This window comes from Homo sapiens, chromosome 21 (genome assembly GCF_000001405.40).
Source record: "Homo sapiens chromosome 21, GRCh38.p14 Primary Assembly".
Taxonomy (NCBI): Eukaryota; Metazoa; Chordata; class Mammalia; order Primates; family Hominidae; genus Homo; species Homo sapiens.
This window is the reverse complement of record NC_000021.9, coordinates 26,088,227-26,110,459: the sequence shown is the minus strand read 5'-3', so window position 1 is coordinate 26,110,459 and position 22,233 is coordinate 26,088,227. Positions and strand designations below refer to the sequence as shown.

The window sequence follows — 22,233 nt, the reverse complement described above, 5'->3', positions numbered from 1 at the left end:
TTTTGTTTTTTTTTGAGATGACATCTTGCTCTGTCGCCCAGGATGGAGTGCAGTGGTGCAATCTCAGCTTACTGCAACCTCCACCTCCCGGGTATAAATGATTCTCCTGCCTCAGCCTCCTGAGTAGATGGGACTATAGGCACCCGCCACCACGCCCAGCTAAATTTTTTTGTATTTTTAGTAGAGACAGGGTTTCACCATATTGGCCAGGCTGGTCTTGAACTACTGACATTGTGATCCACCCATGTCAGCCTCCCAAAGTGCTGGGATTATAGCCGTGAGCTACCACGTATGGTCCATTATATGTATTTTTACAAGAACATTCTGTGTGCTGATTTACTAAGTATGGATTGATAATAAATCAGCTTTTGCCTGGGTGTGACTTTTATAAAGTGTCAATGTTAGAAATAATATTTACATTCTGCTGAAGAGTTCTTGTAGTACAATTGTGTAGATAAGTTATAAATTTTATAAATCAGAACTCTGTGCATACTTATATGTTTTTGATACCATTTTTTTGATATATGCATACAGACTATGTATTCTGAGTGTCAAATAAACTTTTTTTAAAGGCTAGAATTAAAATTTAGTTTATGACATTGACCAAATTGTCCTTTTCTGGTGAATCGACTATTTTGATACATGTGTCATAGTTTGCATCTAAGTTTTTCTTCCCTTAGTTTCACGTATGAATAACCAGATGTTTTCACATTTGTATGGTGGCCATACCAAAAATTACTCTTCTTGACCCCAGGAACACCCCTCTTTTCCCGTTTCACTTAGAGATCCTACTAATGCCTGGGTAGCTTTACTTTCTGTCTTAGCCTGTTGTTTGTCCCAGGGTGTATTAGTCTGTTCTCACATTGCTGTAATAAACTACCTGAGACTGGGTAATTTATAAAGAAAAGAGGTTTAAGTGGTTCACGGTTCCAAAGGCTGTATGGGAAGCATGGCTGGGGAGGCCTCAGGAAACTTAGAATCATGGCAGGAGGTGAAGGGGAAGAAGACACATGTTCACATGGCCAGAGCAAGAAAGAGAAAGAGTGTGAAGGGAGAGGTGCTACACACTTTCAAACACCCGGATCTCATGAGAACACTGTCACGGGACAGCACTCGAGGGATGGTGCTTAAACATTGAAACCACCCCCATGATCCAATCCCTTCCCACCAGACCCCACTTCCAACACTGGGAATTACAATTCGACATGAGATTTGGGTAGGGACACAGAGCCAAACTGTATCAAAGGGTTGAGCACAGAGTGGTTCTTCCCAGTTCTGGACTTTACCAGATTGTTGGTGGCCACCATGAGTGGGGAGAATTAGCCCTTTGCTGTCACCTTCCTCTTGCAATTCTGGTATTATCTGTCCTCTGCCTACCACCCACCCACGGAAGTCTTGTTGGATGATACACACCAGCCAGATTCTTCAACATTAGGCGCCATAAGTAAGAAAGGGCCAAAACATCATACCTTGTGAGCCATTTTAATGGATTTGGGCTTTATTTTGTAGCAACAGGAAGTCACTAGACTTTATTTTTTATCTATTTATTTTTTTCTTTTTTTTTCTTTTGTTTTTGAGACAGAGTCTTGCTCTTGTGGCCCAGGCTGCAGTGCAGTGGCACAATCTCAGCTCACTGCAACCTCTGCCTCCTGGGTTCAAATGATTCTCCTGCCTCAGCCTCCCGAGTAGCTGGGATTATAGGCGCCTGCCACCACGCCGGGATTTTTTTTATTTTTAGTAGAGACAGGGTTTCACCATGTTGGCCAGGCTGGTCTCGAACTCCTGACCTTGCGATCCACCCTCTTCGGCCTCCCAGAGTGCTGGGATTACAGGCGTGAGCCACCCGCACCCGGCCTAGACTTTATTTTTTCAGAGAAGAGGAGTGATTGTAGATTTGCATTTAAACAAATCACCTTCTTGCTTTATCACTATGTCCCCTACCATATATCTTCGTTCTCCCAGAGACTGCCATGCTGCAGCCTCTAGCCGTGTGCTGTCCAGTACTGTAGCCACTGGCCCTATGTGGTTGTTTGGCACTTGAAATGTGGCTAGTGGAAACTGATGTGTGCTATAAGTGTAAGATAGATACCGTATCTCAAAGATATAATGTGAGAAAACCTGTAAAATGATCACATTCATTTTTATATAGGTTTAACATTGAAATAGTTATGTTTTGAATATGTTGTTAAATACATCATAAATGTTACTGAGTTGTAACTATGTGATTAAAATTGATTTCACTTGTTTCTTTTGACGTTTCACGTGGCAGTGAGGAAATTGAGGTTCCATAGGCAGTTGCATTCTGTTTCCGTGGAACAGTGCTGTTCTCTGTGCTATCCCGAGCCACCAGTGACTCTGAGCTGTAAGGGTCTTAGATCCCATGATCTGGCAAGTGGGAGAGGGAGGTAGAAATGAGTCCCTCCATACCTTCAACCAGAACTTCACTGCATGTTGCAAGTCAGGGAACAAGGCTTGTTTGGGGTCCTTTTAAATACATCTTTCATTAAATACATTTGGATGTAAGATGATTATATGCCTTTCTAGAACCCTGTGGTGCTCTCTTCCTCCTCAGACATAATGTCTTTGGATACTAAGGGTGCATTGATGAACAGAACACAGGGCCTGTTCTTCAAAGGGGGAGAAAAGCTTGTAAAATCATAATTTTAGCAATCTAAAAACTACATGGTGACAGTGACACTAATACCATCAGCATTGAGCATTCACAAAGGGTCACAAAGGGTCAGCTACTATGCTAAGTACTTGCACTCATTTTACCCACTCAGTGACACCTGTGGAGAAGAACCGAAGGAAAGCACCTTGGGGAATTGCAGCATTGAAGGCAAACAAAGAGAGACGATTCCCCATGAGGGAGATGAGCAGTGGCCAGAGAGATAGGATAGGAAGTAGGAGGCGTTACATGCTGGAAGGCAAGCCATGTAAATTTCTAAATGAGGGGAAAGATAAGAGTGCAAGCATGATGCAAACGGAAAGCAGTTGAAGTGTAGTTTTTGACATGGTAAAATCATGTCTGTCATGCAGACTGAACACATGTCAAATATTTTATTCAATTCATTAATGAGATGAACTGTAAGATGTGAAAAATGGTTCATTTTGACTTGGAGAGATTTAAAATTCCTTCCCCAGCACACTTGAGTTGCATGGCTATGAACAGGAATCATCTGGAATTATCTGGAATATCGTCAAATTATTTCCATGGTACAGGAACACTTGCATTGCTATGGGGTGTCTGCAGTATCCATCTTTACAAAGCTCTAAGGGTGTGGAATAGCTTGTAAGGATGTAAGTAATAAGGGTGTAAGAATTTTAAGGGTGTAAGTCGTAAAATAGCTTATTTAGTAGCAAGTCAACTGGAGGAACATGCTGTAGAATCAGATAATCCTTTCCCCGCCACCCTCAGGGTCTGCAAGACAACACCTGCATTTCAATGCTAGGACACCCAGCAATCTCTTTTGCTCATATCTTGTTTTTGGACATTTGTATGTGTGTGTGACAAAACATTGTTAGGATCTGGCAAATAGAAGGTCATTGTTGACCCTGTGGAATAGCATGGGGAGAAGTTACGTTGTAGTCCATTGCAGGAAAAACAACGTGGGTCAATGGTGAGTCAGCTGTGGACTCCTGGAGGAAAGACCTAGAGGCAAAAAGCTTTGAGGTCATTGAAGACAAAAGGAAAGGCTTTGTGATTTTGATTTTTAAATGGAAGGAATTTGGGCCTAAGGAAGCTTAAACTAAACTGTGGGAAGGACTGATACCCATCCTAAGCACTAGTTGCAGGTATCTCTTAAGAACTAGGTTTTGGCCGAGCTCCGTGGCTCAGACCTGTAGTCGCAGCGCTTTGAGTGAGAGGATCGCTTGGGCCCAAGAGTACAAGGTTACAGTAAGCTATGACTATGGTATTCAGTTCTGTAAGAACTAGGCAGAAAGGAGATCCAGTGGATATGTGATTGCCTGGGTCTTGGAAAGGGGAGGGAACATCTCCTTTTCTGAGGAAGAATGGGGAGATAGGGTGGGTTAATTAGGCAGTTTCTTTTGCCAGGTGATAAAAACCCCCTAAACAATTTGTATTTTATATATGGAGAATATTTTCTCCCACTGATGGGAAGGATCGTAGTGTGGGGGATGCTTACCCAATTTCTTAAAAATGTACACAGAAATGAGATCCCTAGGTGCTGGAACCGAGGGTCAGTACTGCCTAGAATTTCCCCATTAGGGTCTCTTTTGTTTCTGCTTACCTTCCTGCTGTGTGTTTACTCCTTTTCTCCTGCTAAGATGGGTGTCCTCAAGGAGACCAGGGATGTTGGTAGCCACGACCTCTGGTAGTGTTAGTCCTGGTTTGGCATCCCAACTTTGTTCTGCCCATGGGCATTATCAGGGAGTGCTTCTGGTTGGCACTGCTTTGAGTTACACGTCTGCCCTTGGAGCCACCACCGTATCTGCAGGGACTCAGTATCAGGACTAGCCCATCTTGGCCTTGTGGGTGTGGCCGTGTGATGTGGGGAGAGGAGCTGTTGCCAGAAGAGGGATGAGGAATGGCATGGGCAAAATAGAAGAATGACCCCAGTGCTGCAACACAGTGGGTATGGATTAGAAAAGGCTTGTAGGCTGGACAGGGCGAGGTGAGGGAGTGCATCATGCATTAGGATTTTAAGTGGCTTTTTGGGGAGTATTGAGCAGGTGGCAGGGGAGACAAGTTCACTCAGAAGTTTTAGACAGTGTTGACATTTTCTTTCAAATTGTGCATCTTGAATTCTCTAGAACATTCTTTATAGATATTTCAGGATCTTCCTGCCACTTTCCACATTGTAGCTATTCTGGTGTTTTTCTTTTATAATTAGAAATAATGAATAGTTCTCATTTGTAGGCTTGGATTTTCATGCGTGTGTTGGAAAGTGTTCGTTTTGCCTTTTTTTTTTAACTTCATGTTTTTATTTTTTAAACCGTATTGATGGATTCATTGCTAGGAACGGCAAGGAAAAGAATACTCTCACAATGTTACCACGTTTCCTTCTCACAGGTTTTATAAGTTGTATTATTTTTATATTTTCAAAGTTATAATCTTACCATCTCCTCTGTTGCCATACTTCTCATTCATAGGGTCTGTCTTTAACTGGACTCATTGTTTACAGCTAGTCTTTTCATCAGATCATCTCAAACCCTGTATTACATTAATATTTTGATTCCGTTTTGTTGGATGACTTTCATCTTAATCATTCTTATTGTTGAACAATGTTTTTCTTATTATTGAACAATTGCTTCATTAGGTATAGAATTCCTGGTTGATGGGTGTTTGATTCAGCACCATGAAAATTCACGGTATTCTGGTATCTGTCATTGGGCAAATTCTTCTTCTTTTTTTTTTTTTTTTTTTTTGAAAAAAATGCGTGGAAACCATTAGTTACCATTGACAGAGCTACTCATTTAATGATTTTTTTTTTCTCCCAATAGTGGTGGATGAATTTTTTACTTTGCGTTCTCACTTTGTGTCTCTCATGACCAAAATATTTTAGAGATAACTAGCTGGCTAAGTCTGAGGTGGCTGTTAACAGTCTGGTCCTAGGATAGAACAAAACCAACAGAACTCATCACCGTCACGTCGTTTTGACTTTTTGCTCACAAGTTTAACTCATTGTTTAATTTGTTTTTCCAAAGGATTGCTTTGCAGTATACATGTTGGTGCATAGCTTAACATGATGATAAATACATAACTTTGACTGTGAATTATCTACTCTGCTCCTTTCATAGTCTCATGCTTCTCTGAATTTGTATTTTGTGTTACTGGGTTGTTTTGTTGTTATCATTCATAGTGTTTTTTTTGCCCTTGATTCTTTGATCCAGGTTTTGGTCAAGGGCAAGGTTCAAGAGAAAAAGTAAAAACACAGTCTTTTATTTTTGCTCTTGGTTATAAACCCTTGTAAAGTTTGATTGAGAAGATAACTTGGATCTTATGGTTTAAATTGAGTCTTTGTTTAATCCCAAGTCTTCCAAATTCTTTGTGCTTATGTATTCTTTCCTCTTTCCCAATCGTAATAGTTTTGCTTCTGCCTAGTCATTGGTCAAATACCTGCCTTTCAATGCATTTAAAAAATATTTTGTGTTAGCACCATTTGAGATTTTTCCCCCCTTTTTTTTCAAGTATGTATTGAGGACTGTTATGGGATGAATGTTTGTGTTCCCCCAAAATTTAGATATTGAAACCCTAACCCCAGGCTATTCGGAGATGGTATTCGGAGATGATACCTTTGGGAGGTGATAACTGTTAGATGAGGTCATGAGTATGTGCCCCCGTGATGGAACTAGTGCCCTTATAAGAAAAGATACCAAAGAGCTTGCCTTTTTCTCCCTGCTCAAACGAAGAAGTCACATAAGGACACAGCAAGGAGGTGGCTGTCTGCAAGCAAGGAAGAGCGGCCTCACCAGAACTCGGTCATGCTGGCACCTTGGTTTTGGACTTCCAGCTTCCAGAGCTGTGACAAAAGACATTTTTGTTGTTTAAGCCATTCACAGTAAGGCAGCATTTTGAGCTAAGACAAAGACCTACTGTGGCTTCTGTAGGCAAAAGCCCTACAGACCCAAAGTGTTGTGAGAATTAACATTTCTAGGGATCATGCCTTACAGTGGATTTTATCCAACACTTAGCTCTGACCTAGAGCACGCTAGTCGTCGTTAGGTAAATGCTTGTGGATGGTAGTTTCTGGCACAGAGATTGGAGCGGTAATGGGCAGGAGTTCTGTATCCAGCTTATGCTGAGAGAGCTTCCCATAAAATGGAGCCTATACTTTCCTTTTGCAGAGACCATTTCTATCCATTGATAGAATTCTTTTTTTTCTTTTTCTTTTTTTTGACGGGATCTCACTCCATCGCCCAGGCTGGAGTGCAGTGGCATGATGTCAACCCACTGCAACCTCTGCCTCCTGGGTTCAAGTGATTCTCATGCCTCAGCCTCCTGAGTAGCTGGGATTACAAGGTGCACGCCACCACATGTGGCTAATTTTTGTATTTTGGTAGAGATGGGGTTTCACCATGTTGGCTAGGCTGGTCTTGAACTCTAGTGATTTACCTGCCTCGGCCTCCCAAAGTGCTGGGATTACAGGCATGAGCCACTGCACCCAGCCTTCCATCGACAGAATTCTAAAGACATGTTTAGGCAAGAGTTGGTGGAATGTTGGCGTGTAGTCCAGATTTGCCTTCAGTTTGTTTTTATCCGCTTCAAATGCAAAGGCCATGATAATTCAATAGTAAAGTCATAAATCCATAGTATGACTTAAAATATTTGGTTGTAATATTACAAAGTATGCTTCCAAACACATTAAGCATGCAAAATCCTTATATTGTTCTTTTTGTTTAGTGTTTAGGGTAGTTTGTGTGAATCATAGATGACCACAGTAGACTGTTGAGTTGTTATTTTCTTTTGACATTCTTTGATAGAAAACAGTGCTTTTCCTCTGTTATTTATACTAGAAGCAAAAAGTATCTCTCATAGCATTATGGAAACAACTCGAATACAACTACGTCAATTATTCATCTTTTTTTTTTTTTTTTTTTTTTTTTTGAGACAGAGTCCCACTCCATCAACCAGGCTGGAGTGCAGTGGTGCAGTCTTGGCTCACTGCATTCTTTGCATCCTGGGCTCAAGTGATTCTCGTGCCTCAGCCTCCCAAGTAGCTGAGATTACAGGTGCCCACACCATTCTCAGATAATTTTTGTATTTTTACTAGAGATGGGGTTTCACCATGTTGGCCAGGCTGGTCTCGAACTCCTGACCTCAAGTGATCCACCTGTCTTGGCCTCCCAAAGTGCTGGGATTACAGGTGCGAACCACTGTGCCTGGCAGTTATTCATCATTTAACAGCATAAAGTGGCCACTTGCTTTAATAAACTATTATAGTACCAAAATTTTGGCCTGAGGAATTTATAAATATAAATAGAACAAAACAAAAATAATATTCCCCTTGAAACATATTCTAAAACCAGGGGCTAAAAGTTAGAATTGTTAGATTTTATTGTCCTGTTTCTTTGGGATGAAATGAAATTTTTTAAAAACCATAGTTTTGGCCGGGCGCAGTGGCTCACGCCTGTAATCCCAGCACTTTGGGAGGCCGAGGCGGGCAGATCACGAGGTCAGGAGATCGAGACCATCCCGGCTAACACGGTGAAACCCTGTCTCTACTAAAAATACAAAAATATTTGCCGGGCGTGGTGGTGGGCACCTGTAGTCCCAGCTACTTGGGAGGCTGAGGCAGGAGAATGGCGTGAACCCGGGAGGTGGAGCTTGCGGTGAGCCGAGATCGCGCCGCTGCACTCCAGCCTGGGCGACAAGAGCGAGACTCCGGCTCCAAAAAAAAAAAAAAAAAAAAAACCACATAGTTTTACTTAAACCAAAGGCTTTGGGATTCCAGAAGAATAAAGGAAGTGTACTTCAATTCTACATCTCAAGAATCTATTTCTTCCCAAATTTAATACAGGCAAATTTAGTCTATATTTATTGGGCACTGTTAGGTTTTTGTGTCAGGTGTTGCTGAGTGGCGGGATACCATTCTTGGCCCATAAGGACCTTATAAATCTATTAATACAATTAAATTGTGAAGAAAATTTAGAAAATTGCAAAGGTAGAATGAGGTTGCAAATTGGAGGGTCTTATTCTGGAGATAGGTGGAAGCTATGGCAGATTTTTAGCATGAATGCTTTCTGGTCAAGACACTTTTAGAAAAATTAGCTTGTTTCCAAGAGTAGATTAGATTGGGGAGAGAAGGAATTCAAATTACAAAATAATAGTGTGAAAAGCATTGTGGGAGATCATCCTGTCCATCCCCTCATTCATGATATCCTGAGGTGCTGTATTAAGGGCATCATTGCTCTTTGTCACCCGAGCAGTCCAGGAAGGCTGCCTGTTCAGTCTTAGACTGTATCCTCACAGTCTTAAACCATATCCTCACTTTATGATAGAAACACACAGGCAAGTGTTGTAAGAGTTACATATTGTCAGTTAAACAAGAAATTGGATGAGTCCCCATACTATTCTTCCTCTTTTAAAGAGAGAACTTGGGCCGGGTGCCATGGCTCACACCTGTAATCCCAGCACATTGGGAGGCCGAGTCGGGCTGGTGACGAGATCAAGAGATCAAGACCATCCTAGCCAACATGGTGAAACCCCGTCTCTACTAAAAATACAAAAATTAGATGGGCATGGTGGCGCACGCCTGTAGTCCCAGCTACTCGGGAGACTGAGGCAGGAGAATTGCTTGAACTCGGAGGCCGAGGTTGCAGTGGGCCGAGATCACGCCACTGCACTCCAGCCTGGCGACAGAGTGAGACTCCATCCCAAAAAAAAAAAAAAAAAAAAAAAGGAAAAAAAAAGAGATAACTTGAAACAGGCTCTTCCAGCCTCTCTATTCTTTTAATAACATGCAGTGCACTTCTTGGAGCTAGGGGCTAGGGTCTAGGGGCTTCTTGAAGGTGTTGATGTCTCTGGTAACTTACACTGCAGGGCAGGTCTCTGGAGGGAACTTTGAACAGGTTAAGCCTCAAATGCAGGCAGAGATTTCCAATTGGGAAAGTTAGGTGAACGTGGCTTTATCATCTCTTTTATTGGTTTATGGGTATTTTCTCTTTTTCCTGTTTTCTTTCCCACCATTTAACATTATCTGTTCTCTGCCTTTTTAACCTTCTGGCTTTAAATGAACAGTTGCTTAATCTATAGATTAACAGGATCAGCAAACAAAGCACAGCAGTGCCTGCACAAAGCAGAAACTGCCTGTTAGATGAGTTGAGCAAAACCATTTCCTTTGCCCAACTTTCTCCTCTAAAATACATAACTGAACATGGGATTCCCAGACACGAATTGTTTCTCAACCTTTCTTTTTCCATTCTACAGTTGTATGAAATTAAAATTAAATAAAAAGCAAACAACAGAGGTAGTCTTTTTAATCTTACCGAGTTGGAAGGTATACTATATACATTATCCTATGGTAGAAGGTCTGGTACATTCTTGACCATTATTACTTTGCTATGGGCACCCTTCACCCTTGTAGGCTGAAAATTGGCAAATCATAGGCACGTATACATTGTGGTTTTGGAATTTGAAAGATCTCAAATTCATATTGAGTGAGACAGTTTTTGAATGGAGGGATCAGGCTGTCTATATGTGGATATATTTTATGCATTTCTGGTCTGTATAAATGTAAGGATTGCTTTACTGACCGTAGATTTCTTCTAGGGTTAAAAAGTTGAAGCCAGTTTGGATATTTTAAAATAAGAAAATTAGCCCTACATTGAAAGAGAGAATAGGAAAATCTAGGCTATGTGTACACATCTGCTTGTGTTTTCACAATTGTGTCCTGTCCTATTTATTTTTATTTCTCTCCCATCTCTTCCCTCCCACCCACAATTTGTTTTTCATTCAACACTTTGAAATTAGAATAGCTTATCTATCAAACAAGGTTCTTTGACAGGATTTTCCAACTCTGAGTATGAAAGTGTGGATATAACAATATATTTATATAGAATGTCAGAAGCAGAGTTTGGCCAGATTATTGGGAAATATTCTAACGCCCTGCAGCATTTTACCGCCTTTGCTTTTACATAAGGCCATCATTTGGAAACATAGCATGCTGATACCTCCCATTATTGCAGTAGCGTTTCATCAGCTGCACGCTGCCTCTCAGCGCCTCATTAAGTTGCAAGCAGAGAACGTTTTCGTTTTCCAGTTCTCTTTCTCAATTAAGTTAGAGATTGTATTTTCAGTATTCCTCATTATTAAAAGAATTTTTGTTGAGAATAGTTTAAGATGTGATATTTCTTTGTATTCCAGGAAAATTTAAAGAATGTCATTGAAATCCAGAAACAGAAGTATATATTGTCTAGGACATGCTTTGTCTTGGTTTATATGCCTAAGTCCGAGTAGTTTAAAATTTATGATTAATATACTCTTTGAATGCTTAGAAATGGCATCGATTTTAGTTGTTCTAGTTTCATCTTAAATAAATTGGAGTAATTACTAACTCAGGATTATGATGTGCTACACATAAAACATTTGCAGTGATGTCTGGTACTTAGGAAACCCTCAGTTATGACATTTTTCTTACTTTCTTCTTGGATATGTTCTTTGAAAAAGGGACTGGTATGGAAAAGCTTTGAGACGATGAAAATATACAAGATAGGCTATCTCTGAAACAATTTGGTATAGAGCATTTGATTCTCTGTTTCATGTATATATTCATATATGCTAGCTGCAGTCATGCAGACACAATTTGGATCTGGGTTTTTTTTTTTTTCCTTTTTCACATGCAGTTATAAATTTAGAAACCTGGCTGTTTCCTCTGGACTAAATGTATTTATTTAAATTTTCAGTGCTTTAAATGCAAAATTACAAGCATATGTACAAGTAGAAAGAATAGTAAAATGAACCCTCCCATCTATCTGTCACTGAATTGCAGTAATGATCAAATCTAGTCAGTCTTGTTCCTGAGTCAGTCTGGAATGCAGGTTTTTTCCCTTAACTATTCAGGTTCTCCAGCAATCCTGGCAAAACACATGCGGGTTTCAGCTCATCTCTTTCAGTGACCTGTAAATTAAGATGTGCTAAAGCATCACATGTTACTCATTGACGTTTTGTTAATATATTTAAAACATTTTATTAGTACCACATAATTTTTAGCGTTTTCAAAAAGAAATAAGAATTTGGCTAAAGGTGAATTTTAAAAATTGAATGACTAAGTAGAAAAGTAGGCAAACTGTTTTCAGAATTAGTAGCAATTTCCAATTCCATTTACTCTGTTCATTAACTTTGTTTTCAGCCTTTTGTTAGCCATGTTTGATTTTGTGTTTTTGAAATACCTTTGGTCATTTTAGGACTTTTGGCATTAATCACCTGTCTTAGGTGGCCTGTTTACAAAAGGGACTTTTCGGTTCTCCATTTGCCCTTAATGTTGGGAATAGAGACAAAGTTTCTGTAGGACTCTGACAACATATGGCTTTACAAAGTTTTTTTTTAATATATACATTTCTCTTCTTGGCTTTCTTAAATATCATCAATGTCTTTTCTTGCTTTACGTATTTAGCAACTTAAATGTCATCTTGTCTGAGATCAATATATTTCCAACTTGGAGAGATAGTGAGAAGAGAGACTTCAGATTTTTAAAATGTGGAACAAAACATTCTGATGGTGACCAGGTTTTAAGGTATTTCTTCAGTAGACAAAACTACTTAGGCTACCGATGATAAGCTTTTAATATTAATAATAATTATTATATATAAAAATATTAATATAATATGATCTAAGATTGTTTCTATTCCCCCTCTTTCCTGGTTGTTAGGATTTGGAATTTCTTATGCACTCTTTTTTTTTTTTTTTTTTTTTTTCTGAGACAGAGTCTGGCTCTGCCTCGCAGGCTGGAGTGCAGTGGCGCGATCTCGGCTCACTGCAAGCTCCGCCTCCCAGGTTCACGCCATTCTCCTGCCTCAGCCTCCCAAGTAGCTGAGACTACAGGCGCCTGCCACCATGCCCGGCTAATTTTTGTATTTTTTAGTAGAGACGGGGTTTCACCATGTTAGCCAGGATGGTCTCGATCTACTGACCTTGTGATCCACCCGTCTTGGCCTCCCAAAGTGCTGGGATTACAGGCCTGAGCCACCGCGCCCGGCCTATGCACTCTTAAAATTATTTCATGTACTGATACATTCACTTTCAATGATAAAACATGGCTGTATGACCAGGTAGGTAGGCTGCTTTTCAGACTCCTGTACTAACTGAATGGGCCCCATTAGCCCAAGTGAGAGCTTAACTTGTCACTCTTCCTAAATGCCTTCCTCAGCTGAGTGCTTATTTACAGTAATCTACTGCTTATAGCAGATGCTATGATTTGTATAAGCTGTCCATATCTACTTGGAAGAACAATATTGAAAGGCATTGAGATACTTACTTTCCCTCAAAAGCCCATAATCCAACAACTATTTAGAATATCTTATTTAAGAGATAGGTTTATAATACCCAAAGGGAACTTAATGTATACTGAAAGTCCCTGATTGAATGGATTCTGACCTTAACCAGAAATATTAATTACATGCTTATCAGACACTTACTGTGCTATCCCAGGGTTTGCCACTGTTGAGGGAACACCAGATGAATCATATTGTCCCTGCCTTCAAGGATTATATATTCTAATAGGACAGACAGCCCATCAGCAGAATAGGAGGTAGCAAGTGGTCAGGGATCAGATAAAGTGATCAAGGCAAGTGGAGGATGCAGTGGTAGGACAGAATGGTCTGCGCACAGAGATTGAGGGCATCATGTGGTGGGAATTAGTGAACTAGCATGCAAGCCGGGCCTTTTTCTTGGCTTTTGTTCAATTGGAAGGAGCATAAAGCTACTAAAGGAGCTTATGTTTAGAAATAGGGCTTATTGAAGGGGACAAGGCATCTCCTAGAATCCAAATGCACATCCCAAGACTTAAAAGAGTTAGAGGGCACAGGCAGGCCCTGTCAGATCCGGTCTCTGCCAGATCCAGTCTTGTCTGTTTCTCATCTTCCCTTGTCTCTCTGAGTATTCCCTGTTTTCCTTTCCTGGACTAACTGCTTCTTCCAGATGCCTAGTTTGAGTCCACCCATGGTTTTTTGGGGGCTTTTCTTTGTTTTTTTGTTACGTTCTGTTTTTGTTTTTTGTTTTTTTGAGGCGGGGTCTCACTCTGTTGCCCAGACTGGAGTGCAGTGACGTGATCCCAGTTCACTGCAGCCTCGACCTCCTCGCTTAAGCTGTCCTCCCACCTCAGCCTCCCGAGTAGCTGGGACTATAGGCGCAAGCCACCATGCACCCATGGGTGTTGACATGCCACCTGTGGCTCAGACTTATGCTCACCTCCAGTCAAGTTTCTTCCTTATCTAACGACAGCCTTTGTGTGTTCGTGAAAGCCCTTGAGGGAAAGAATGCTACGTACAGTTTGGTTTTCTTGGGCTCTAATAAGCTATAGGGGATGGTGCTGCAGAGTTTGAAATACAGTCACTAATGAGTCCTCCTTCAGAGAGCTGAGGGTGGGAGCACCACATAAAAGGAGTTGGGGGTCAGCAGCCTCCTGATAGTCTGAAAGCCAAAGATGATGGATGTGGGGCTCCACGGGGAGGCTATAACATGCCACGTTATGTTTTCTGCCCTTGAGGAAAGCTTCTTTTCACCAGGCAGGCAGTACAGATACAAACTTAATAGCGATGTGAGGCACACTGATAAATACCAGAAAACATTCTGTAAGAGGGGTTAGCATTATTTCACTGTGTGCAGAGGAGGTTTGTCCATGTGGGGGGACCCTAATGGGCGTAGGCATTTGAAGTGTAGTCTAAGGGATCTTAGGTAAGAGTGTGTTTGGAACACAGTGTACGTATTTATACAGCAAATGCTCTGTGTGGCTATAATTTAGGAAAATTTGTAGGACTTGAGGACAGCTTATTTTTCTACTAGCTGACAGAGGCTTGGGTTTGCTTCTGCTTTAAGTATAAGTATCTCGAGTCCTTTTTTAAAAAGGAAAATCAAGGAAATAGTTGGAATTGGGTTTCACATAAAAAACATTTTAGAAAAGAAGGGGAGTATGAGAGTTAGGATTTGCTAATGTTTGCTGTATTAGCAAATTATTTGCAATGCTTGTCATATTAGCAATACATGTATGTTTTGGAAAACACATGCAAATTAAGCAGCTTAAGGAACTTTTATCTTTATTTCCTATGTAAGATTTGAGATGCTGCAAAGAAAATATTAAAACATTGAACCGATACTTACAGTAGTCCTCCTATATCTGCAGAGGATAACTTCCAAGACCCCCAGTGAATGCCCGAAACCTTAGATAGTACCAAACCCAATATATACTATGTTTTTTTCCTATAGGTACATACCTGTGATAAAGTTGAATTTACAAATTAGGCACAGTAAGTAATTCACAACAACTAATAATAGAATAGAGCAATTATGACACTACGCCACCATCACTACTCTTGCACTTTGGGGCCGTTATTAAGTCAAATAAGAGTTACTTGAACACAAGCGCTGTGATGAAGTGATCAATGGCAGGTAGCATGTACAGCATGGAGACGCTGGACAAAGGGATGATTCACTTTCTGGACTGTGTGGGTTTGAGATTTCATCACACTGCTCAGAATGGTGCGCAATTTAAAACTTATTGTTGGCTGGGCATGGTGGCTCATGCCTGTAATCCTGGTACTTTGGGAGGCCAGGACAGGAGGATCTCTTGAGGCCAGGAGTTTGAGACCAGCCTGGGCAACATAGGATGACCCTATCTCTTTCTTAAAATTAAATATAGGCCGGGCACGGTGGCTCACGCCTGTAATCCCAACACTTTGGGAGGCCAAGGCGGGTGGATCACAAGGTCAGGAGATTGAGAGCATCCTGGCCAACATGGTGAAACCCTGTCTTTACTGAAAATACAAAAATTAGCCGGGTGTGGTAGTGGGTGCCTGTAGTCCCAGCTACTCAGGAGGCTGAGGCAGGAGAATCGCTTGAACCTGGGAGATGGAGGTTACAGTGAGCTGAGATTGCACCACTGCACTGCAACCTGGGCGACAGAGTGAGAGTCCATCTCAAAAAAAAAATAAATTAATTAAATAAATAGAAAAATAAAACTCATTTATTTATAGAGCTTTCTATTTAATATTTTTGGACTGAAACTATGGAAAGCAAAACCACAGATAAGGGAGGACTACTATAGTTATGATAAAAATCAGGAACTTAATCTAGCCACGAGAACATTTGTATTTCTGATGAAATTTTTATTCTTGTCTAAAATGTTGAACTATATTTATATTTATATCTTTAAATATAAATGAACTATATTTATATCTTTATAAATGAGCTATATATTTATATTTTATATAAATATAAATATTTTTATATCTATGTAAACATAAAAAGGCTTTTTTTCCTCTCTGGATGTTTACTGGGGTTATTTAATAAAAACCTAGGGATGATATTGGGAATTTTTGTTGGAATTTTAAATTTTAACGTGTTTGTTTCTTTTTTTGTTTTGTTTCGTTGTTTGCTTTCTGAGCTGGGAGTTGGCTGTGCATGTGGCAGTTGCTTTATCAAAAGGGTCTTGCTCTGCTTCAGAAGAAGTTTTGTTACCTTGATTGCTAATGTTCTCCCCCTTAAATAAACCTCCTGATGTTGGAACAGCAAAATTGCATTATGTTTGGAAAATCTAAATTAATAATCCCTTATCTCTGAATAAAAGTAACTGAATCAGGTTGAATTTACTGCTTCCATTTTAATAGGACAGTAGGAAAAAACTATGCATGGGCTTTATGTGGTTCAAATTTTTTTTTTTTTTTTTTTGAGACCGAGTCTCGCTCTGTCACCAGGCTGGAGTGCAGTGGTGTGATCTCAGCTCACTGCAACATCCGCTTCCTGGGTTCCTGCGATTCTCCTGCCTCAGCCTCCGGAGTAGCTGGGACTTAACAGGCGTGTGCCATGACGCCCAGCTAATTTTTGTATTTTTAGTAGAGACAGGGTTTCACCATGTTGGCCAGGATGGTCTTGATCTCTTGACCTCGTGAGCCGCCCGCCTCGGCCTCCCAAAGTGCTGGGATTACAGGTGTGTGCCACTGTCTCCGGCCTGGTTCAAATTTTGTAATCTCCACATCCATCTGCATATTAACAATTGTCATTGTTGGTGTTATAGAGAGAGAAGCTGAAGCACAGAAAATAACACGCATGTTCTAGATTTCCTGGTGGGAACTGGAAGTAAATTCTGTGTTTGGCTGATCACTGTATAAAGTTCTAGTACTAGTCTTTAGGGAAAAGCCCCGTCTTCATGGATTTTAATTTGTCAATTTGCAATTCTACCTACTTGGAAATAGTCAACCTAATCAGTTACTGCCCTGTTGCACCAACTATTACCATAGGAATCTGAAGATGGTATGCAACCAACATGAAAAAGAGATCCTTTTCTCCTGGTAATCAGTTTGTACCCTACAAACAATTCGTTGGTTTTAAGTTGTATAGAGGGAACCATGATGTGAATATGCCTGCCACTGGGTTTATAGAAAACCGATGACTCCTGAGGAAATTCTCAGCAGGGTTGTCTTTCAGTGAAAAGAACCCTTTAGAAAGATGCAGTAACTCACACTTTACTGCACATAAAGTCATGTCCCTCAGGGTGGACTCTCAGGTGTCATACAGTTTATGACTCATGAGTGCTGCAGCTTTGTGATCTAATAAACAAGTAAAGACGGTGGGAGAATTATATTCCTGTACAAAAAGCCACTTCACCTTTCATTATATAGGAAAAAAGCCATGGGAATATTAAATTTTTAGTGGCATTTTTAGAGCATTTTCTGTGATCTAAAGTGCCTGCATTGAGATATTAAGATACTTAAGAACAAAGTAAAATAAAGAGAAGTATTAATAGCAGGATCCCTTTGGAGCTAGGTTACTGTGGCAGTGGTTTCAAGAATAACTCTCTCAGCACCCACCCCAGGATTCTGATTTAGAGATTTCTTTGTGTGTTCTCTTAGCATATACCTCTACCACTGAGTTTATCCCCTGCTGCTACACTGATTGATACCTTATTTTTAAATTTTTGTTTTTAAAATAGACGGTTTTTTAGAGCAGTTTTAGATTCACAGAAAAGTTGAGAGGAAGGTACAGAGGTTTCCCATATACTTGCTACCTGCACACATGCTTAGCCTCTCCTATTATAAACATCCCCCACAGAATGGTACATTTGTTACAATCGATGAACCAACATTGATACATCATTAGCACCCAAAGTCCATAGTTTCCCTGAGGGTTCACTCTTGGCGGTATACATTTTTTGGGTTTGGACAAATGTATAATGACATATGTCCATCATTGTAGTACCATACAGAGTAGTTTCACTGCCCTAAAAATCTTCTGTGCTCTATCTGTTCATCCTCCCCCTGCCCCCAACCACCCAAACCCGTGGCAACCACTGATCTTTTTAGTCTCCATAGTTCTGCCTTTTCCAGAATGTCATATAGTGGGAAGAATGTCATATAGTATGGAGCCTATTCAGATGGGCTTCTTTCACTTAGCAATATTAGTTAAGTTCCTCCATGTCTTTTCATGGGTTCATAGCCCATTTCCTTTTAGTGTTGAATGACATTCCATTTTCTAGGTGTGTACCCCACAGTGTTATTTATTCATTCACAGTACCTTATTTTTTAACTGATTTTTTTGGGGTCTGGGACTAAGGTGAGGTAAACAAGGCAGTCAGGAATTGAGATTAAGAATTTTTAATGTAATATTTTTAAAAATCAAAATTACTGCAAAAAAACTCCATGATGAACAAAATATCAACTTTTTAGACAGAGATTGAGTCACGCTCAATTGACATCAAGCCATGCATAGTTCTCCTACTGCCTTATTAAAATGGAAGCAGTAAATTCAGCCTGATTCAGTTACTTTTATTCAAAGATAAGGGATTATTAATTTAGATTTGTCAAGCCCTCTGAATGTCATGGACAATTGTGAGTGAAATTCCGTGTATCGTCTAACTCCCCATGGATGTTATCTTGCTCAGAAACCTTGTTCTCCCTCCAAGGAAGGCACTACTTCTCCTGTAGCCTTCTCAGGTCGAAGTTCTTTTCTCAAAATCCTCACAGCGTTGCCCCTAGAGGTGGGAATGTCCTCTTTTCCTCTTCATTTCCTCTTTTCCTCTTCATTTTTGTTTCCAAACCACTCTTCCTTTCTCTTCCCTAAAAGCCCCCCTACCTCAGCTTGAAGTGCATGCTTTCAGACAAATCACTTTGCTCCTCCACCTGTTGGTCATCTCCAGACCTCTTTCTACCTCATCGATGTTCACCATTCAGACTTTGAAGATTTTAGCTCCTGCCTTGCTGTCATCAGGTGTAGCTGCTCATTTGCTGATTCTTAAGTGATCCTAATATTGATCTCAATGATCCTTCCAGTATTCCAATTTGTCAGTTCATGATTCTCATCCCTCCAGTGACCTTGTTTTCATCATTCTCCATCACCCATTGCTTACAATGGTCATATTATACTCCTTGCAATGACCAATCACTGCAACTCCTCCAAAATTTTAATTTCAATTATTTGACTCTCCAAGTACTACTTATTACCACCTCACTTTCTCCAGTCCTGTGCGCCATACATTCTTTAGCCCCTGGAGTGTGATCAGTGGACTCAGATTCCACTGGTCCCTACCACCTTTTACCTGTGTCTAATTCCCCTCATGTTCTCACTTTTGCCACTTGAGATTGCATGGCCCAGCATTCTAATCATTCCCTTGCTTATACCGTCACTTCTCTATTCGTTGTTATTTATCTGGCAAAACAACCACCCTGTTGCAATGCAAGGTTTATGCAAGGGAATGCACATTTTCGAAATAGATTTTTATGTTTATGTTTTTCTTTCAAATCTCTACTCATTAATAAATAGAAGTGGTTTGATATTTCACAAATGTGATTTAATTGATCAAGTTTCACATTTCATTCTAAGTGCTCAGTTAAACACCATGATGTATTCACAACAGTAATCAAAGCAAGGGGCTGTAGTTAGTTATAGGAGCAAAGAGAATTCATGAGTTTATTTTTATCTAAATGACACCCTTGATAACTTTTCGATAAGTTATTTTCATGTAAATTACTTGGAATAAGAGCAGGATTTTTATATAGAAAGCTTTCTATGTGTCATATCCTGTAAAATGTTTGTCCGATTAGTGAGAGATAGGGGGAGGTTGAATTTTACTAAACATAATATCCCCAGCCATATCTACTGTAACGTTTGTTTAGGACATTACAGACTATTATCCTACACCAATTTATTTCACATCAAAAATCACCCCATGCTTGTAAGAATCCTCCTTTCCCCCTCTTGTTTCTATTTTAGCTCCCCTGGAAAAATAATATTTTAAGTCTAAATGAGTACAATAAATTAAAAAGTTGCATTGCTTAATATTTTGAATGGAATAGCTAGATGCTTGTTCATTTGCTATCTTTTTCTTTGTACTGAATTTCTTTAGCTTGGTCAGAGGTAGAGCAGGCTTGACTCTTAGTGGATAGTGGTATAGGTTGAGTATCCCAAATTTAAAAATCCAGAGTCCGAAATGCTCAAAAACCCAAAACTATTTGCATGTCAACATGATGCTCAAAGGAAATGCTCATTGGAGTATTTTGGATTTTGGACTTTCCGGATTCCAGATGCTCAACCAGTAAGTATATAATGCAGATGTTCTAAAATCGGAAAAAGTCAGAGACCTTGAAAGCACTTCTGGTCCCAAGCATTTTGGATAAGGGACACTCCACCTGTACCTTACAGTGGAGGCTTGTTAGATGCTTGTAAATGCCAGCCCCTGCCTCAAGTAACAATTGATTCTTTTTGTGTGCTCTCCCAGGTCTACCCTGAACTGCAGATCACCAATGTGGTAGAAGCCAACCAACCAGTGACCATCCAGAACTGGTGCAAGCGGGGCCGCAAGCAGTGCAAGACCCATCCCCACTTTGTGATTCCCTACCGCTGCTTAGGTGAGCCGGCCGGCCGTGGGGCTGGTGTTGATTGGGGGCCTGGTCTTGAGGGAAGAAAAAGAGGATGCTCCTGTTAGGTCACATACACAGACTTGTTCTTCAGCACATTGCCACTCTGTGTTGTACTGTGTTTTGGACTCTTGCAGTTACATTCTGTGCACTGACCCTATAGGAGCAGTATTTTTGAGTTCCCTGCCTCAGAATGAATTTACCCAGGGTGTATATTGAAATTACAAATTCCTGGGCCAGTTCCAGGACTCCTGAATGAAAAATGCCTATAGTAGCGGATCCGGGAATTCTTATTTTACCGTATCGCATAGATGATTCTCATGAACAGGGGCCTTGTGTGTTTCTTCACATAGACTTTCTAGAAGAAAGAATCTAATGTGAAGCTGCAGCATTTTGTTAATTTCTAAAAAAAAAAAAAAAAAAAAAAAAAAGGCTGTTCTACAATAACTACTCCTCTTATTTGGTGATAGTAGAGGAATTGGAATTGGGAAGGCTTTTTTTCTGCTTACATCAAACTGGAGGAAACAGTCTGATTACTAATGTTTAATGTTTGTTTTGTCACAAACCTCAAATTTACCTCAACATTTTATTTAAAAAAATTGAGTAGTTTTATGTGGTATCGTGCTCTTTTCCTCTGGAAACTGTCATACTCCATATTTAATCTAACTTGGTTATTAGTCTGTTCCTAGTTGTTGTTTTTATGTGACCAGTCATTGCAGAAGTCAAGTTCTTTGCTCTGGTATCTTACATCTAGATGTTTTCCACAAGTGTATTCATCAGTAGGCAGGTTGTAAATAAGGATATAGAGATTGTCTGTGGAGATTGTGGACAAATATTGATGTATATTCTGATGACTTCTTATAAAGGTTAAAAGGAATATTTCAAAGAAAATCCAACAGCAAACTTACAAAGTAAGGATATTTACTGAAGATTCCGGAGATCTATGTAATATATGGTCAAAAATGAATGTCCTAAGAGCATACTGATTGCTGTTCATTCATGTGCATAATTTGAGACATAAAATGAAAACACTGGGCATTAGAAAGAAGATTTCACCTGGTGAATTTACTTACAATGTAATTGATGAAGAGAGTGTAGAAAACTAGATTTCTTAAACATCTGATAATTCAAGAGTTTCCTTTTTCCTCCTTATTCCTTGTTCCTATATGCTTTATAAGGCCTCAACTCTTTTCTGGTTCATCAAAAAGTGCAGTTTAATTAGATGAAAATAAGCAGCACTTAAATTCTAGATACAGAACTCCTACTCAAAAAAATATAGAAGTCATCTGTCCCCAGGAACTGTGTATTTTATACTCACTTAGTTATTACACCAAGAAATAACACACAGAGATTGAACAATTCAGTACAAGTTAGGAAGTAGATCATGAGTCTGTTAATTTGATGGGCCAGGCTTTGTTAATGATTTGTTTCTTTTGGTTCTTACTTACCTGTTCTATGAAGTATTCCAAATATATTTTCATTAGAATGTAAGCTCACTGAGAACAGGTAGGGCTTTGGATGGGCATTATTGCTCCTGGTATGACACTCAAAACTGCAGTCATGTTTCAGAAGTGAACTTATCATTTTACATAGATTTTTCTGCTTCATATTCTATTCAGAATGATTTGTATTAAAGTTGATGGAAAGATGAAATCCACATTAAGATTGTTATTTACTACCTAGTGCCAGTTGTTGTAGCAAATATCC

The 22,233-nt window shown here is 39.9% G+C and overlaps 1 protein-coding gene across 11 annotated transcripts in view, besides 1 other annotated feature; it reads left to right on the top strand.

The window, feature by feature from the left end:
- Positions 1–22,233, top strand: part of APP (amyloid beta precursor protein) — a 290,579-nt gene that overhangs the window by 60,669 nt on the left and 207,677 nt on the right. For all 11 annotated transcript variants that reach the window (NM_001136131.3, NM_001136129.3, NM_001136130.3 and 8 more), the window contains one exon: positions 20,388–20,517. In NM_001136131.3, coding sequence (NP_001129603.1) covers positions 20,388–20,517 — 130 coding nt within the window. The remainder of the gene's footprint in view (positions 1–20,387; positions 20,518–22,233) is intronic.
- Positions 2,392–3,038: an enhancer, noted in NCBI's record as "NANOG-H3K27ac hESC enhancer chr21:27479739-27480384 (GRCh37/hg19 assembly coordinates)". NCBI's record gives its function as "activates a minimal SCP1, AML or CMV promoter by ChIP-STARR-seq in naive and primed H9 embryonic stem cells {active_cell/tissue: H9 hESC(naive and primed)}" and the evidence as "EXISTENCE:reporter gene assay evidence [ECO:0000049][PMID:30033119]".